We start from the raw sequence: 19447 nt of genomic DNA, 5'->3' as shown, positions 1-19447 counted from the left end.
GAAATGAGAAATTCTCTCCACCTTCCAGGTCAAGGAATATGGCTCAGAGAGCTTCTGTGAATTGCCCAGGATCACACAGCTAATAAGTGCTAGAGTAAGAATTTAATACTTGACCTCTCTGGCTTCCAGGACTGGCTTCTTGTCCCTGTACCACATTGCCCCTGGTAAGACAGTATAATTGTCCCATAGACCAAAGCTAGTACTACACAAGAGGCTGAGTGAACTGAACATATCCAAGCCAGATCCCTGTATTCATTCGACAAGTATTGACTGGGCTTCTATCATGTGTCAGGCACTGTTCTAAATGTTAGGGAAATGGCAGTGAGAAAAACAGAGGGGCACACACAGGGGAGGTAGACAATACCAATAAAAAGGAAAACACAGGCTGGGTACAGTGGCTCACGCCTGTAATCCCAACATTTTGGGAGGCTGAGGCAGGCGTATCACTTGAGCTCAGGAGTTGGAGACCAGCCTGGTCAACATGGTGAAACCTCGTCTCTTGTAAAAACACAAAAATTAGCTGGTCGTGGTGGTGGGCGCCTATAATCTCAGCTACCCGGGAGAGTGAGGCAGGAGAAACGTTTGAACTCAGGAGGCAGAGGTTGCAATGAGCCCAGATCGAGCCACTGCACTCTAGCCTGGGCAAAAGAGTGAGTGTCTTAAAAAACAAAACAAAAAGGAAACAAAACAAAACAAACAAAAACATCTGTTGAGTTTAATAATGTGTTAAATAGTAATAAATAATATGTAATTAAATAATTAGTACATATTAATAAATGATTAATAGCGTGCTTAGAATTTGCTAAAAAATAAAACCAACAATAATCCAAAAAGCCACATAACATGTTAGGTGAAGATAAAGCAGAAGTGAGAGTATTGGAGAAGCTGTCACATTTTACATTATCCAAGAAAGGCCTCCCTGAGAAGGTGACATTTGAGTCAAAGCTGAAAGCAGTGAGTTAGCGAACCATGCAAAAACACGGAGGGGCACTCCAGGCAGAGGGAACAGTAAGCAATGGGGGTGATGATGTTCCCAAGCAATGTCAAGGCATCCTATAAGAAAAACAGCATTTTTAAAAGTTAGAGTTAAGAGGATGAGGCTTAGGAAACAGGGTGTCTGTGGGAACGATTGGAGTCTGGAGTCTTTCACATTAAATGTGGAAGTACAAGGTCTTGGGACACTGGTTTTCCTAAGTTATTATAAAGGAAACGTGGTAACCCAGGGAAAGTTGCAGCAGCAAAGACCAGGTGTTCAGGTTGCATGTCGAGGTTTTCTAGATACCTGCTGGGGAGGGAAGAATGGGAGGATTAATCTGGTAATTGTATGCGAAGGGAGTAGACCAACAGCACCCACCTCAATGAACTGGTTTTTAGTTATATCCAGACCTGACTCAACTGAAGTAATCAAGGACTCCTTGCTATGTTTGCTGGTAATTTGGGAACAGAATGAATCTTGTATTACTGTCATTTGCAAAGAGCTTTAGTCTTTTTCAAACTCATTTCCAGCCCCTTGTCTGGACTACGAGTTTCTGTGAGGAAGGCAGAGAAAGTATTAATGGCCTCATTTTACGCATAAAAGAATAGAAACTTGGGTTTCCTGAAGTCATACAACCAGGTTCCTGCGGGTCCTTTTGAGGCCACATGGTCTTGTCCCAGATAAGAAGTTTCCAACAGAAGCAAGCTATGCAGCAGCATTAGCTAGGGAAGTTTTTAAAAACTCAAATTCCCATGCCTACTGAATCAAAATCACAGAGTGAGGATCAACCAGGTCTGGAAACCACACTTTTGTAGACCCAGCCTGCAATAACACTGCTTTGTTGCATTAATAAAAATCTGTGCTCCCAGAAGAATCAAGAAGCCTTGGGTTGACACTTCAAAGTTTAGACACTTCAAAGTTTAGGCTGAAACTTCACAGCTTTATTTCCAGGGGCTCAGATGAACTGTTTCAATAAGGAACAAAGGGTCTATTTTACTTGTTGCCTTGAGAGTAGAATATTTTCTTGTCCATCATTTCTCTTCTATTTAGGGCTCTTGTTGGGGAGAATAAGTATACGGAGCTCTAGGGTCTGATGAACATAATACATTTTTTGTGCTTGGGTCTCACATAAGCTTCATTGAAGCCTCTGATATGTTTTCTCAAGGTGATAGTATATATTAGGGTTTAGCACTAACATACATTTATTCAACAAATATTTGAGTGTCCACCAAATGCAAGGTTCTGCGCTCAGCATGGGGTAAGCAAAACCAGATACAGTACTTGCCCTCATGTAGTACAGGGTCCAGTGGGGGAGGCAAGATATAGTCCAAAGATCACATCAATAGGCTGGGCGCAGTGGCTCACGCCTGCAATCCCAGCACTTTGGGAGGCTGAGGCAGGCAGATTACCTGAGGTCAGGAGTTCAAGACCAGCCTGACCAACATGGAAAAACCCCATCTGTACTAAAAAAAAAAAAAAAAAAAAAAAAAAAAAAATTAGCTGGGCATGGTGGCAGGTGCCTGTAATCCCAGCTACTTGGGAGGCTGAGGCAAGGGAATTGCTTGAATCCTGGAGGCGGAGGTTACAGTGAGCCAAGATCACACCACTGCACTCCAGCCTGGACAACGAGTGAGACTCAGTCTCCAAAAAAAAAAAAAAAATTCACACCAATAAATATGAAACTACAACGCTGACAAGTGCTGTAAGAGTGTAAAGCAGTATGTCTTGATCTAGCCTGTGGCTGTGTCTCTGTAGGGGATATTTGAGCTGAGATTGAAGGATAATCAGTTACTTGTGAGGGGGAGAGGGGACAAAGCAGCCTAGCATCGTATGGCAAGGAATTAATTCATGCAAAGGCCCTGTGGTTGAAGGAAGTACATGAGCTTGGGAAGCTGCAAGGAAGCCAGTATGGCTGGAAGACAGGAAGTGCAGGGGAACATGGCATGGTGGTATGAGAGACAGCTTTAGAGATAGGAGGGCCAGACCATGCAAGGCCTTGGCAAATGCAAATGAAACAGACTTTCAGACTCTTTAAATGAGAAACCCAGCAGATTCATATACGTGTACTTAATAACCTGCATGCTTAGGAGAAAAGATTGAAGTGCCACTAATGCTGTTTAATAAATCTTATAAACATATGATTAAAAATCGGCTGGGTGCAGTGGCTTACACCTGTAATCCCAGCACTTTTGGAGGCCGAGGCAGGTGGATCACTTGAGGTCAGGAGTTCGAGACCAGCCTGGCCAACATGGCGAAACCCCATCTTTACCAAAAAAAAAAAAAAAAATTAGCCAAGTATGGTGGCACATACCTGTAATCCCAGCTACTCGGGAGGCTGAGGCATGAGAATCGCTTGAACCCAGGAAGCAGAGGTTGCAGTGAGCTGAGATCACACCGCTGCATTCCAGCCTGGGCGACAAAGCGAGACTGTCTCGGAAAAAAAAAAAAATTTTAAAAATATCAATTATCACACTATTACCAGGGCAACAAATTATCAAGTAAGACAACCAATTAGAATTACACATTTAGTTTAGGAAGTTGAAGGTTATTTTTATGGGATACTGTAACAATTTCTGAAGCTCACCTGTACTTTCAAGAATAGATTCATATTAACTGAGAACAGAAGAAAATGGTAACAATTAAGGAAAAAAATCTAATTATCCTTATCAGACAGCAACATAAGATTTCTAGTCTTGTGGATATTATCATTTTGAAACCTTTTCAAATCAGAGACGTTAAACTATATTTTATGGCACAGAATGGTATCTCTCCTTCGGTAGCTGCAGGAGATAAAATTAATTCCTAATATTTCAGAGATGCTGTTTTGCTAGTAATTAGTAGTTAAGAAGACTTTTCACTTTTTAAATATTATACTCCAAAATTCCAGTGAGTAGCATTTTATAAAAGAACAGACCACAGGGAACTCAAAGTTTACTAAATGGAATAGAGAAAAGGCAGAAGAGGGTTTTATTTAATACATATGGTGTCGAGGGCCAAGTGATGTCTTTCCTCTATGCCAGTGGTTCTCCACTGAGCATGAGTTTGCCACCTGCTCCAGAGACATTTAGGAGTGTGCAGACGTTTTTAGTTCCCACAACTTGAAGGGGTGGAAAATGCTACTAACATCTAATGGATAGAAACCAGAGATACTGTTGCACATCCTATAATACACAGGTTGGTGCCCCTCCCCAATAAAGAATTGTCCAGCCCAAATGTTAGTAGTACCGAGGTTGAGAAGCCCAGTGCTACCTCTTGTAGGTCATAGTAGGTATGTACCAGTTCTGTGCAAATAAGACTACCTCTGTCCTCATGGGGCTTAAAGACCTGTAGAAGAAAATCTACAAACAAATAAGTGCTATGGCCTGGTGCATTCTATCAAGGAGGTCAGAAAGGCTTCATTGGAGAGGTGGCACTGGACGTGAGTTGATCACAGAATCCTGCTCTCAAACACAGACACCCTCAGGAGATGCCACAAATGCTAATTCTACATTCGTCTTTAGAGGAAGACAGAGGCAGTGAAAAGATCAACAGAGTTGGCCCAGTGAATATAGCTAGAACCCTGGGAAGGAAGGGCTCACAGAATCCAGGCAGCTCTTAGAAGCAGCTCAGAGCTCTGAGAAGTGGGTATGGCTGAGCATGTACCTGAGATATGAAGAAAGGACATGGGCTTTGGAGTATGGAAGACGTGACTTTAGAGCCACACTGTGCCCTTCAATAGTTGTAAGACCTGGCTAGGTGCGGTGGCTCACGTCTGTAATCCCAGTACTTTGGGAGGCCGAGGTGCACAGATCACCTGAGGTCAGGAGTTTGAGACCAGCCTGGCCAACATGGTGAAACCCCATCTCTATCGAAAATACAAAAATTAGCTGGGTGTTGTGGCGCACACCTATAATCCCAGCTCCACGGGGGGCTGAGGTAGGATAATCACTGGAACCCAGGAGGCAGAGGTTGCAATGAGCCAAGATCGTGCCACTGCACTCCAGCCTAGGCGACAGAGCGAGACTCCATCTCAAAAAAAAAGAAAAGAAAGAAAGAAAGAAAAAGAAATAAATAAATAATTTTAAAAAGTAGTTGTAAGACCCAGAGCAAGTTCACCTTTCTGTTACCAGGGCAACCTCAGTCTCTTCATCTGTAAGAAGAAGATAGTAGGAGTCCCCAACTCGTAGGGTCAATGTCTAGACTAAATGAGATCATGGGGGCAAAGCATTGGCATACATTAGCTGTTCAGTGAAGCCTTCTTCCTTCTTTTCCCACTTGATACGGGGGAAACTAGACACAAAAGGAAATTCTCTTGATTGCCTGCAAGCTCTTGAGGGAGGCAGAAGAGAGGGCAGAAGTCACCTGATACTCAAACCATCTTAGTTTTTTACCCGTCTGCTAGGGTCTCCCTTGACCTTTGCCACTTCATTTCTCTCATATAGTTTCTGAAACCTCCCAGCAGTGAAGTGCTGTGCATCCTTGGGGCTGGGGTCCAGGCCTACAGCCATTATGAGATCTTCACAGAGCAGTTCTCCTTTAAGGAGGTAAGTCCAGGGGTGGGGGTGGGAGAGAAGAGGGAAGGGGGTGGTCCTTGACCTGTCTATACTGCTTCACTGCACCACAGGTTATTCTGAAATAATTAAGTTGTGAGCCCCATCTAGACCATTCTTGTATCTTCATGACTTCCCAGAAGCCCTGATGGAGGGGATGGAGGATAAGAGTCAGGGGAAGATCTGATTACCTGTTTCCAGTCCTCAGTTCAGAGGGCATTTGTCTGAGGATACAGCAAGCTTACTCGGTTAAAAGATTCTATTATATCTCTTGTATACATTCAGTTGTCCTTTTAGCTCCTGTCTATTATGTTTTTCTTAGGAGAATCCAGAGTTTTTAAGTATTCAAGGTTATGGATCAAGAAACTGGGTGGGATGAGACCTGGAGACCAGGAGGCCACAGCCTCTCTCTTTTGCAGTCTCCATACTGGTCCACCTTCCCCCCACTGCGTCTCATGCTTCCCCCTGGGAATTTTTGATGCTATTGTTATTTTATGTGTGTGTATGAAAGGGATGGAGCAGTTTTAAAGTATGATTTAATGATGAAAATAAAACCACTGCCTTGAGAAATATAGACTATTAGGTGAGTGCAAAAGTAATTGCAGTTTTGGCCATGACTTTTTTTTTTTTTTTTTTTTTTGAAATGGAGTCTCGCGCTGTCGCCCAGGCTGGAGTGCAGTGGCATAATCTCGGCTCACTGCAACCTCCATCTCCTGGGTTCAAGTGATTCTTGGGCCTCAGCCTCCCAAGTAGCTTGGATTATAGGCGCCCACTACCACACCTGGCTAATTTTTGTATTTTTAGTAGAGATGGGGTTTCACCATGTTGGCCAGGCTAGTCTGGAACTTCTGACCTCAGGTGATCCACCTGCCTTGTCCTCCCAAAGTTCTGGGATTACAGGCGTGAACCACTGCGCCCAGTTGCCATTACTTTTAATACAAGGAAGAAAACAAAAGAAAAATGCCCTTTCATCTGTTTTCAAAGACAGTTAATGTTTTCTGATCTTCCCTCTTCAGCTTTTTATAACATAGCTTTAGTCACGTTAGATATGCACCATTTTATATCCTCTCTTACTGAATGTTCTAACATCACTTTTCAGGTTATCTAATTTTTGCATAAAATTTGCATAGTCTTCTATCAAGAAGGGTGAAGAGGTTAACCATGCACTTCCGGCCGGGCAAAATGTCCTGTTTTTCACCTTGCTTGGTGAACTTGCTTAGACATAAAGTTTGTTTCCGTATGTATTATATTTCCTTATGAGAAATTCTGTAGGCCTTATTTTCAGTTGACGGGTGACAAGCCCTTGACCCAAACATTGAAACCTGTCAAGCAAGTCGGCAAGTCCCCAGCTCCTGGTGAGGCCGCTGCCCCACCCTCCAACCCCAGCACCTTTCAGGATTCCAGCCGTAGCTACCATTCTTGGCCTTTTCATTGGCTATGCCATTTACCTTCAAACTCGTCTGATCTTGAATTTCCTAAGTATTCTTCACCGATCAAGTTATTCCATGAAAAACATTATCATAAATAATCCTTCATATGAATCTCCCACCCATTACAACTCCTTTACGGGGTCTCAGACATAAAGTGTGAGTTCCACACAGACTTTGCCAGTTATATTTCCATTTTACAGATGTGGAAACTAAGGCTGAATGACATGAAGCAATTTCAGGAAATAGCAGAGTGGAGATTGGTTCCAAGCCTACCTGGCTCCAGAACTTGCTCTGCTAATCATTATGCTATTAATATATAATAGCTATGAAGTTACTGAGGCTGTGCCTCTTGGCCTAGAAGTGAAATACTTCCACTCATTTTAAAAGGGGAAAGTGGTAGAGAACGCTGATTTTCAAATACCTGGCTAGGTGTCTAAGTTAATGCTGTACCCCTGATCAAATGTCCATTCTCCATGGGGAATGATTTAGGAGTGATTTAGATAACCACTGACCCCTATGCCAGAGTAGTTCAACTTTCCCTCCGCATCCCTGGGCTCAGTGTAACATAAGCAGCCAAAAAATGGCGCCAATATCCTTCTTGTTACTCCCAATGAAGGTGAGGATATGGAACCGCACCAAAGAAAATGCAGAGAAGTTTGCAGACACAGTGCAAGGAGAGGTACGGGTCTGTTCTTCGGTCCAGGAGGCTGTGGCAGGTGCAGATGTGATCATCACAGTCACCCTGGCAACAGAGCCCATTTTGTTTGGTGAATGGGTGAAGCCAGGGGCTCACATCAATGGTAAGTAGAGTGGCTCCATAAGGCATGATGGGTGGTGGCCAGGCTCCTCTCTAGACGGGACCAGTCGACTACATTTGCAGAGCCAGTTTATTCATGCAGAATGCCCAAGCTATTTAAGGGCCTTGAAAACATGTGAGATTGAAAAAAACAATATTTGGCTGGGTGCAGTGGCTCATGCCTGTAATCCCAGCACTTTGGGAGACTGAGGCAGGTGGATTGCTTGAGGCCAGGAGTTTAAGACTAACCTGGTCAACATGGCAAAACCCCGTCTCTACTAAAAATACAAAAGTTAGCCAGGCATGGTGGCTTGCACCTGTAGTCCCAGCTACTCATGAGGCTGAGGCATGAGAATGGCTTGAACCCAGGAGGCAGAGGTTGCAGTGAGCCAAGATTGTGCCACTGCACTTTAGCCTGGGCAACAGAGAGAGACTCTGTCTTAAAAAACAAACAAACAATATTTGCTCCAAGAAATGTAAAAGGGAAATTACAAACCTGAAACTAAAGAATATTTAATGTTCTATAAAATGTAAGTTTTTTTTCTTTTTTTGGGACAGGGTCTCACTCTGTCGCTCAGGCTGGAGTGCAGTGGCGAGATCTCAGCTCACTGCAACCTCTGCCTCCTGGGTTCAAGCGATTCTCCCACTTCAGCCTCCCGAGTAGCTGGGACTACAGGCATGTGCCACCATGCCCAGCTAATTTTTTGTAATTTTTGGTAGAGACAAGGTTTCACCATGTTGGCCAGGCTGGTCTCGAACTCCTGGCCTCAAGCACTCTACCCACTTCAGCCTCCCAAAGTGCTGCGACTGATTACAAGTATGAGCCACTACGCCTGACCATAACATGTAAAATTATGGCAAATGGTAATTCACAGCTCAATTCTAAAATGTGATGAAATTTAAATCAGAAAGGCCAAATGAGTCACTTTTTCTTAACACTAAGAATTATAAACCTTTAAATTTCTTTTGTACTGTAATTTTTTATGTGACATGTATATGCTTTTTAATATGTGTGATAGGATGAGGGGCAGGAGAGGGGGCTCTAGACATGAGGGTGCCTGGGGCCTCTGTAGACCTTCAGATGGCCCTGGGTGTTATAGCAAGAGCTGGTCTACATCTAATACTACTGCAGGTGCTGTCATGAATTCTTTGTATAATTCTTTGTATATTAAATGACATTATTCTATGTATAATGTCATTTAATACTTATAACCAACTTATGAGGCAGGAACTATTATCATAAACATTTTATAGGGGGATGAACCAAGGCATGGAGAAATTATATAACTTTTCCAAAGTCACAAGTTTTTGTTTGTTTGTTTGTTTGTTTGTTTGAGATGGAGTCTCACTCTGTCACCCAGGCTGGAGTGCAGTGGCATGATCTCAGCTCACTGCAACCTCCACCTCCCATGTTAAGTGACTCTCCTGCCTCAGCCTGCCGAGTAGCTGAGATTACAGACACACGCCACCATGCCAGCTAATTTTTTTGTATTTTTAGTAGAGATGGGGTTTCACCACATTGTCCAGGCTGGTCTCGAACTCCTGACCTCAAATGATCCACCCGCCTCAGCCTCCCAAAGTGCTGGGATTACAGGCGTGAGCCACTGTGCCAAGCCCAAAATCAGAGGTTCTTGATGGCAGAGCTGGGATTTGAACGGAGGCACTCTATCCTCAGAGTCCAAGCTTTAAATGATACTCATGATTGCCTTCCAACAGGAAGACTGGATTCTGGTGAGCAGAGCAGGCAAATTTTAGAGGATTTAAAGATGGTCTTGGTGCCCTGTGTTTTAGTGACAAGCACATGGTGTGAACTCAGAAGCTAAGAGCTTTGCACACGTGGGCAGATGAGCCGGCGAGAGCCAAGTCAAATGATGACGCATTCAATCATACATGCTGACTGAATCTCTACCGTGTGCCAGGCACTATTCTAGATGCCAGGGATGCCACAATAACCAGGCAGTCAAGGTCACTGGTTTCATGGTGGTTAATTTCAGTGAGGAGAGATAGACAACAAACAAACACATAGAGGAACTAGATCGTTCTGGCTAAAGATGAGACCGGAAAGAACAAGGCCCTGGGTGATAGAGGCTGGTGGTGGAGGTGGAAGGTAGAAGCAGAGAGAGGTGTTTTCAATAGGGTTATCTGAGAAGCTCTCTAAGATGTGTTTTTTGAGCTGTGACCTGAATGAGGAGGAAGAGCAGCCATGCCAAGAGCTGAAGGAAAGGCATTCAGGGTAGAGGGCACAGCAGATGCAAAGGCCTTGAGTGTGGAAGCGAACATGGCGTGTTTGAGGAATGGATCAAAGTAATTTGAAAGTCTCAGGCTGCATGGGACTGGTGGTCAGACTGGGTCCAGGGAATGGGTAAGAGGTAAGTCAGGGCTGAGTTTATGGACAATAAGACCATTTCTGGAAGGACCTGGGAAATCAAAAGGAACCAGTTCATGGTGAAATGGGTTTCCAAGGCTGCATCTTCAGAAAGATGGACTTGATTTTTTTTTCAGCTTAAAACAACACATTATTATCATCTCACAGTTCCCGTGGTTCAGGAGACTGGGTGTGGGTAGCTGGATCCTCTGTGCAAAGTCTCACAAAAAAGAAATTGGGCAACATCCGGGCTGCAATCTCATCTCATGCTCGGGGGTCCTCTTCCAGGCTCCCATGGTGTGGCAGGATTCAGTTCCTTACACTGGAGGATGGGGGGAGCCCCTTTCCTTGGGGCCATTCTCAGCTCCCAGAGATGACCCAAATTTCCCACCATATGGACTCTCCATCCTCACATCCAGCCACAGACAATCTCCCTTATGTTGGATCCCTCTCTCACTTGGAATCATTCTCCAGGAAGGGCTGACTTGATTTTGAGTCAAGGCATCTCTTCTGTTTTCCTGGCCCAGGGACAAAATTGGTTTATGTGTTCACAGAGGCAACACATACATTTAAGAAAAATGTGTCACAAGCGCAGACAACAGGGAAATACCAACAACAGATTTTACTTAGTTTACAGCTCAGCGGAGGGACAGGCCCAGTTCCACCCTGCCCCATGCCTCCCTCCTCCTGCCCCCACACCCTGTCAAGCCTGTCTGCGACCCTCACTCATTTAGCCCCATCACAACCAAGCCAGAGCCTTGTTTGAGTCAGGCTTCTCTCTCTTTACTGCCTGGCCCACCTCCATCCGCCTGAGTGACCTCACACAACCCTTTGAGAACTCGCCCGGCTCATAAGCAGTGGTTGTGCAGGGGAAATAGTCCAGTGAGAAGGAGTGGCCTGAGAAACGGGGGTTTTGTTCCCACCAGCTTATGATTTATTTACAAGCTTCCTTAAGCTAGTGCTTTTGTTCTATAGAACTCTCCGCACAAACAACCTTCAAGATGGACATTTTTACACAACTCTCTTTGGAAATTAGAATGAGGGAGAACAGAACGGGAGGGAACAAAGGGAGAAAACGGGGCGGCAGTGGAAGAAGGCATATAAATGCTGTCTTATATTTGTATAAGGCTTTATAGCAGTTTTCAAAGACTAGCCAGCCAGGGGCTGGATCCAGCCAGCAGATGTGTTTGGTTTGGACCATAGAGTAATCTAAAACTCAAGGAGTGACATATGCAAATAGATTTCCTGTTTCTCTTCTAAGAAAACAACTGGGGCATATCTGGTAACAGTGGATCTACATTCACACGTGGTAATGATTAGCTGGAGCTGAACAATGACTGTCCCCTTCGGAAGGGCCTGCTGGCTTCCCCGCCCCTCAGTCTCCACCACATCTAATCCAGTCCCTCTGACCAGCTTTGTTCATTTTCATTACCTCCCTGGCCTTGCAGGCATTTGGTGGCAGCCTCTGCATTCTCCTGTGTCCTGGTGCCAGGGGGCGTGACACCTTGGATTCATCATTCTGGTCCTGGACTCCATAGAGGATGTGACAGTTCAGGGCCAGGACGGAGCCAGTTTTCTTTCTGACGAGACTTCTCCATGACCCTGACACTGAGTTTTTGTTGTTGTTGTTTTTTTTCTTTTGTCATGAGTTAAGAGAGAACCGGGGGTGAGGAGAGGGAAAGGGGCATAGTGGCAGGCGTCTGTGGTCCCAACAGTTTGGGAGGCTGAGGCGGGAGGATCACTTGAGCTCAGGAGTTTGAGGCTGTGGTGAGTTTTTGTTTGTTTGTTTTTTGAGATGGAGTCTCACTCTGTCGCCTGGTTTGGAGCACAGTGGCGCAGTCTTGGCTCGCTGCAACCTCCAACTCCCAGGTTCAAGAGATTCTCCTGCCTCAGCCTCCCAGGTAGCTGGGATTACAGGCGTGTGCTACCATGCCCAGATAATTTTTGTATTTCAGTAGAGACAGGGTTTCACCATGTTGGCCAGGCTGGTCTTGAACTCCTGACCTCAAGTGAACCACCCACCTCAGCCTTCCAGAGTGTTAGGATTACAGGCATGAGCCACTGCACCCAGCCTGTGGTGAGTTCTGATTGCACCACTACACTCCAGCCTGGGCAACAGAGTGAGACCCTCTCTCCAAAAAGAAAAAAATAGATATTAAAAGAACTGGTTGAGGGTGAGGAATGGGAATGATGGAGATCAAGAGGAGAGTGAGGTGTGAATAAGCACCAAGTGATGTCTCTGTTTCGGGATTTTTGTGAGGAAGGTGTTCCTGTTAAGCAGAAGAGGTGTGAGCGCCTAGGTGCTCTCTCAGACCTGGATTCACCCATCAGATCCTTAACCTTGGCAAACACCTTCACTTCTTTGAGCCTCCATTCGTGCATCTGTTAAGTGAGAACCAGACTTTGAAATGTACTTGCGAGAACCATAAATAGTACGTGCAAAACATCCCACAGAGAGTAGACACCCTGTAAATGAATGCTATGTCGTCTCAAAATCTTTTAGCAATGAGGTGGGATATAGAATAGAAAGGCAAAATGGTAGGTAGTTTTTTTTGTTTGTTTGTTTGTTTTTTTGAGATGGAGCCTCACTCTGTTGCCCAGGCTGGAGTGCAGTGGCATGATCTTGGCTCACTGCAACCTCCGCCTCCCAGGTTTAAGCAATTCTCATGCCTCAGCCTCCAGAGTAGCAAAGACTACAGGTGTGAGCCACCACGCCTGGATAATTTTTTGTATTTTTAGTAGACACAGGGTTTCACCATGTTGGCCAGGCTAGTCTCAAACTCCTGGCTTCAAGTGATCTGCCTGCCTCAGCCTCCCAAAGTGCTGGGATTACAGGTGTGAGCCACCACACCTGGCCTATTTCTTAATAAGTATTTCGTCCTACTGATTGGGAGAGCATGGCCTGGGGAATGAGGGGGTATTTTGAATCTGAGTGTGTTCACGAGTCCTTTGTTCACCTCTCTCCTGTGCTTTGGGCTTCTTAGCAGCCTTTGGCACTAATCCTGGGCTTAAGGTCTGTTTTGCTGTCTCTTAGCTGTTGGAGCCAGCAGACCTGACTGGAGAGAACTGGATGATGAGCTCATGAAAGAAGCTGTGCTGTACGTGGATTCCCAGGAGGCTGCCCTGAAGGAGTCTGGAGATGTCCTGCTGTCAGGGGTGAGGCCCTTCTGACCCCAGTCAGGGCTGCCACCTGGCTGGCCTCACCTGGATCCCAGGGTTTCATTAACTTCCCTTCCAGTTTGGTCTGCTCCAGACCTCAGCCACCCCACCTCCTTGTAGGGGAAGGAGCTCCTAAACATTTTGCAACCCTCTTTAATTCCATTCCAGAAAAATATGGGCATTATGGGTGGTGACATGTGTGTTCCTGGAAGGAGAAGCTCAGTGGATTTTATTTTTTTGCTGGGCTGTCCTCTAAAGAAGTGGGATTGGAAGCTTCTTGCAGCCTGGAAACCTTCCCAATGTGGCCAACATGATAAGACTGTGTTGCCCACCTTCTGGCCTCATTTTACGGTTATAATCAGCATAAAACAAGAAGGGAGCTGCTGGCATGCATGTTCAGATAACAGCATGTCTATTTCCTCACTGACACAATGATCTTGGCAGGACAGCTCCCTGAGCACCAACTCGAATCTCTGTGTTTATGGTATCACAAAAGCAAATGCCACCCCAAAAGGATTTCGGGGCCAGCCTCCTCCCTAATATCATTCAGTGTACAAAGGATCTCTCTCTTTTTTTTTTTTTTTTTAATCAAATTTATCTCTTATCCAATTCAGGAATTCCCTGGGCTGGCTTCAAAAGCCAACCCTGCACAGACTTTAGCTTCATGCCTGGGTCAGCGTATGTTTGTTTCCTAGGCCGAGATCTTTGCTGAGCTGGGAGAAGTGATTAAGGGAGTGAAACCAGCCCACTGTGAGAAGACCACCGTGTTCAAGTCTTTGGGTAAGATCCATTGCTCCCTGGGCACAAATCCAACTAGCGCACAAGGCAGGTTCACCCATTGGTGGAAAGAGCAATGAGTCACCAGACTCTGCAGCTGAATCATTGTGCTCCATCATTCAGGTCAATTATTTACATGGTTTAGCCTAGTGCTAAGCCCATGAACTCTGGAACTGAGCAGTCCTGGGTCAGAGTCCCTTCCCCGCCACTCAAAGGCAGGTGTCCTTAGGCAAGTGATCTGACCTCTGTAGGCCTCAGTTTCCTCACCACCTGTTACCATTGAGGATTAGGTGGGATTTGCATATAAAATGAATCAGTTCGGTGCAGATCTTGATGAAATTCAGAAGGTACCCTTCAGAGGTGGAGGGGGCAGGGGACAAAGATGTTAAAAGACAGGAACCTTAAGGGAAATGGCAGAGACCCAACCTGAAAGAGTCAGATGGAAAGTATAGCCTAAGCCCTGTTCATTCCCTCCTTCCCTACTCTCCCACTTGCTGCTTTGAGGAGGGCTTCCATGGGGAGCCCCCTACCACCTGAGTTGTATGGGGTACCTTATAGAAGCCCAACAAAGGGTGGGCTCCCAGTGGCCAGTCTGTCCCTTGCCCCAGGTCCTCTTCCACCCTATGAGATTGAAGGAAACAGAAGTACATGGGAACAGGCTGAGCTCGGTGGCTCACGCCTGTAATCCCAACACTTTGGGAGGCCAAGGTGGGCAGATCACTTGAGCTAAGGAGTTTGAGACCAGCCTGGCCAACATGGTGAAACTCCATCTCTACTAAAAATACAAAAATTAGCCAGGCGTGGTGGTGCACATCTGCAATCCCAGCTACTTGGGAGGTTGAGGCAGGAGAATCACTTGAACCCGGAAGGTGGAGGTTGTAGTGAGCTGACATCGTGCACTCCAGCCTGGGCAACAGAGCAAGACTCCATCTCAAAAAATAAATAAATAAAGTACATGGGAACAGAGCTGATACACCTAAAACACTGAAATACTCCCAAACTGGTTGGTAAACAGTTGCTATCCTGAGCCCCTCGAGAGTGCCCTCTGTCCCCCTCTCATGACCTTCCATACTTCGTGATCAAGCAGCAAAAGAGTAAATGCCTGGCAGAGCATCAGGAGCGCTCTGGCCACCCAGAGCCCATGCCATTGGTTAAGTATCCATGCCTTGCAGGTTGGTAAATGTCTTTAAAATCTCTCATGCACTGGAAGACAAAGGCAATACAATTTTATCTGGAGCCTGGTTCAAAGACATCACATGGATCCAGTTTTGTCTGAAAACTTCAAAGGTCATGGCAGATCAGAGGTCAGCCAGCCCTTACTTAAGGAGCCAAAATGCTGCAGAAACTTGTTCTGTCCTTTTTGGCAATTTTTGCTTTCTTACTTTTGGGGATCAGTTTATTGGTGCATTGTTTCATCTAACAGATGCGTATCAAGCACCTAATTATCTGTGCTGGGTGCAGAGGTTAAGGTATCTACCAAAATTACAAGACAAAGGGGAGATATCAAAGGATGCAGCATTCAAACTGGACCAAGCGTCAGAAAACTACAGTCCTGGGGCCAGACCTGCTCTGCTGCCTGCTTTTGTGTGGCCTATGAGCTAGAAATGGTTTTTAGATTTTCAAATGAATGGGGGGAGAAAATATTTCATGATGTCTGAAAATGATACAAAATTCAAGCTTCAGTCCCATCAATAATTTCACTGGAACACAGCCCACAGCCAGGCTCTTTTGTTTACCTGTTGGCTGTGTTTTCTACTCTAAAGGCAGAGTTGAATAATTGTAATAGAGACCCTGTGGCCCACAAAGCCTAAAGGATTTACTGTCTGACCCTTTTTGAAAAGTTTGTTCAGGCCAGGCGTGGTGGCTCATGCCTGTAAGCCCAGCACTTTGGGAGGCCGAGGTGGGCGGATCGCCTGAGGTCAGGAGTTTGAAACTAGCCTGGTCAACATGGTGAAACCCTGTCTCTACTAAAAATACAAAAAAAAAAAAAATTAGCCAGGCATGGTGGCATGCACCTGTAATCCCAGCTACTCAGGAGGCTGAGGCAGGAGAATCACTTGATCCTGGGAGGCAGAGTTTGCAGTGAGCCAAAATCGCGCCACTGCACTTCAGCCTGGGCAACAGAGCGAGACTCCATCTCGAAAAAAAAAAAAATTAAAAAAAAAAATTTGCTCAGCCCTGAGCTAGATTTAGAAAGATGCACAATTTGTTGGTGGGTGTTTCTTACTATCATATTCTCTGCCCCTTTGCAGACAATTGAAGCCTGAGCTCATCTCTGGGTATCAGTCCCTGTTATTCCAATAGGCATTGGCAACATGGACATGTATCAGGAAACTTCCAGCCATGGGGCCTGGGTTGTTTCAAGAAAAGTTGTTTTGACCAAAGGCGAACCAAATTTCTGTCTATTCTAGGAATGGCAGTGGAAGACACAGTTGCAGCCAAACTCATCTATGATTCCTGGTCATCTGGTAAATAAAACAAAGGAACTTGATGTTGAGATGGATGCTTGAGGAATATTGCTGCTGGTTCTCATAATTTCTAGAGTAAATGAGGGAGTCCAGTCCCCAGTGAACTCTCCTTTTGTGCTTATCATGTTTTACCTTAAATGCTGAGATCCTCATTTATGTTTGTAGTTGGAAAGCAAAGCTAGGTAGCCATTTCTTCTGTTCTACCAAGTTATAATAGCATTCATTTCCCTTTATATTTCCCTGAAATAAAGCACATTCCAATTGTGCAGTGTTTGCTTCGGTAACTTCTATTACTATCACAAGGAAACTGAGAGGGATCAGATGCTCCCATTTACTCCCTGGGGGAGCTACACTGGCTATAATGAAACTTCTTTTTTATGTATTTATTTAGTAGTTACAACTCACATACTCTAAGATCCACTAGTTTAAACTATACAATTCAGTAGTGTTTTTTTTTTTTTTTTTTTGGATGGAGTTTCACTCTTGTTGCCCAGGCTGGAGTGCGATGGCATGATCTCGGCTCACTGCAACCTCTGCCTCCTGGGTTCAAGTGATTCTCCTGCCTTAGCCTCACGAGTAGCTGAGATTACAGGTGCCACGCCACCACACTCAGCTAATTTTTGTATTTTTAGTAGAGACGGGGTTTCACCATGTTGGCCAGACTGGTCTTGAACTCCTGACCTCAGGTGATCTGCCCGCCTCGGCCTCCCAAAGTGCTGGGATTACAGGCGTGAGCCACGGCTCCCGGCCAAGCCTGGTCATTTCTTACAAGTGAAATTCTACTATATGTAGTCTTTTGTGCCTGACTCCTTAATGCTTAGAGGAAAAATGGAATTTCTGTATAGATCAGGGCTCCTTTGGTCATAAGTGGTAGAGACTACAACTCAAACTACCTTAAGCTGAATGAATGGAGAATGAGATTTATTGGCTCTCGTAATTAGGAACACACAGGTAACTGGTTTCAGCTACAGCTGTATTCAGGGGCTCCAACTGTCACCAGGGCCTGGTCTTCTTCCCCGTTGGCTCCATTATCAAGTTCTCCCTGGTAGTGGCAGGACATTGGTCAGCAGCTCCTGAATTGTATTCTGTCCTCTTTAGCAACTGAGCATAAATATTCTCTTCCTTTACAGTTAGATGTTCCAGAACTGAGAGTTACTGGACCATCTAGGTCACATGTCTATTCCTGAGCCTAACATTGTGGCTGAAAGACATGGAATAGACGGGGTGAGGTGGTTCATGCCTGTAATCCCAGCATTTTGGGAGGCTGAAGCAGGAGGATTGCTTGAGCCCAGGAGTTCGAGACCAGCCTGGGCAACATAGCAAGACCCCATCTTTTAAAGAGATGGAATACCCTGGCCAGGCTCAAGCCTTGTACCTATCCCTGAACCATCACGTTGTCCAGGGGGATCAGATGCTCTGGTTATCCAGGCCTGGATCACATGCCCACCCTTGAAGTCAGAAGTGTCATCTGCGCATCTGCCCACATGAGCTGATGGAGGGAAGGTGTCTCTTAACAAAAAGAGGACTGGGTAGTTGAAAGGCAAAATCTAAAGATGTCCACTACAGTATCCATGTTAAAAGGGCCATTAAGGATCAGCTAGTCGATCTTCAACTTACGGATGGGGAAACTGAGGTGCAGAGATACTTTCTCCAGGCCCCCTGAATCACTAGCAGAACCGTGTTGTCCTTGTCCTGCCAAAGGCCCTGTCCAAATCCCACTCCGACCCTAGCCTCACCCCACCCCTTCGCTTTTTGCTACTCCAAGGCTGGTTTTCAGATAAGTCAGCAGCAAAGCATGGCTCTGTTTTCCTGACCATACTCCTCCTGGGAAGGACTCATGCTCCAGATGGTTTAGCCAAAAGTTTATCATATTTGCCAGACTGTCTGGACAGGGGTCTTTGTGCTGAAACAAAATACCCACATTACCCACATGATCTGATTCTGCATATCTCAAGTGACTATGGAGTCTTTCTGAGGAATCCTGATGGTCACTACCCTAAAGGATATATAGAGAAGAGCATGGAATGATGAGAATATTCATATATCTTTTCTTTCATTCTTTTCGCAAGAGCCCCTATCATAACCCTGTGCTAGCTTACTAAGATACAACAGAAAAGTAGTCCTCAGCCCCAGAGAACACAGCCTCGAAGAGAAGACAGATGTTAAAAAAAAAAAATTACAATAATTTGGTGTTACAGGAACATGGTTCAGGGTCCCTGCAGGAAATGCAGATGTTCCTTGACTTATGATGCAGTCGTGTCCCAATAAATTCATCAAAAGTTGGAAATATGTGGCCGAACATGGTGGGTCATGCCTGTAATCCCAGCACTTTGGGAGGCCAAGGCAGGCGGATCACCTGAGGTCAGGAGTCCGAGACCAGCCTGGGCAATATGGTGAAACCCCGTCTATACTAAAAATACAAAACTTAGCTGGGTGTGGTGGTGCACACCTGTAGTCCCAGCTACTCAGGAGGCTGAGGCAGGAGAATCACTTGAACCCAGGAGGCAGAGGCTGCAGTGAGCCGAGATTGTGCCAGTGCACTCCAGCCTGGTTGACAGAGCAAGACCCTGTCTCAAAAAAAGTTGGAAATGTGTCAAAAATGCATAGAAAACACCTACCAAACATGATAGCTTAGCCTTGCCTACCTTAAATGTGCTCAGAACACTTACATTTGCCTACATTTGGGCAAAATCATCTGGTAACACGGTACACTGTTCACTGTCAATTGATTATCCTGGTGATCACATGGCTGATTGGAAGCTGTGGCTCGCTGCCTCTGCCCAGCATCCTGAGAGAATATCTTACCAGTTTCTACTGAATGCGTATCATTTTCACACCATCGTAAAGTCAAAAAATCTTAAGTTGAACGATTGTAAGTGGGGAACTGTCTGTAGATGCCACACTCAAAAGGTGTGATTGAAGAGAATAAAGAGACTGTTTAGGAAGA

General features: G+C 45.3%; 1 protein-coding gene across 2 annotated transcripts in view, besides 1 other annotated feature; it reads left to right on the top strand.

Moving 5' to 3' along the window:
- Nucleotides 1-16768, top strand: part of CRYM (crystallin mu) — a 44542-nt gene extending 27774 nt beyond the window's left edge. For both annotated transcript variants that reach the window (NM_001888.5, NM_001376256.1), the window contains 5 exons: nucleotides 5398-5499; nucleotides 7552-7735; nucleotides 13131-13252; nucleotides 13951-14035; nucleotides 16444-16768. In NM_001888.5, the coding sequence (NP_001879.1) occupies nucleotides 5398-5499; nucleotides 7552-7735; nucleotides 13131-13252; nucleotides 13951-14035; nucleotides 16444-16508 (558 nt within the window). In that variant the 3' untranslated portion in view covers nucleotides 16509-16768. The remainder of the gene's footprint in view (nucleotides 1-5397; nucleotides 5500-7551; nucleotides 7736-13130; nucleotides 13253-13950; nucleotides 14036-16443) is intronic.
- Nucleotides 11208-11267: an enhancer, noted in NCBI's record as "active region_10552". NCBI's record gives its function as "activates an Ori minimal core promoter by ATAC-STARR-seq in GM12878 lymphoblastoid cells {active_cell/tissue: GM12878}" and the evidence as "EXISTENCE:reporter gene assay evidence [ECO:0000049][PMID:35858748]".

The sequence above is a fragment of the Homo sapiens genome, chromosome 16, assembly GCF_000001405.40.
Source record: "Homo sapiens chromosome 16, GRCh38.p14 Primary Assembly".
In the NCBI taxonomy this organism is placed as follows: domain Eukaryota; kingdom Metazoa; phylum Chordata; class Mammalia; order Primates; family Hominidae; genus Homo; species Homo sapiens.
This window is presented reverse-complemented; position numbering and strand designations above follow the sequence as displayed.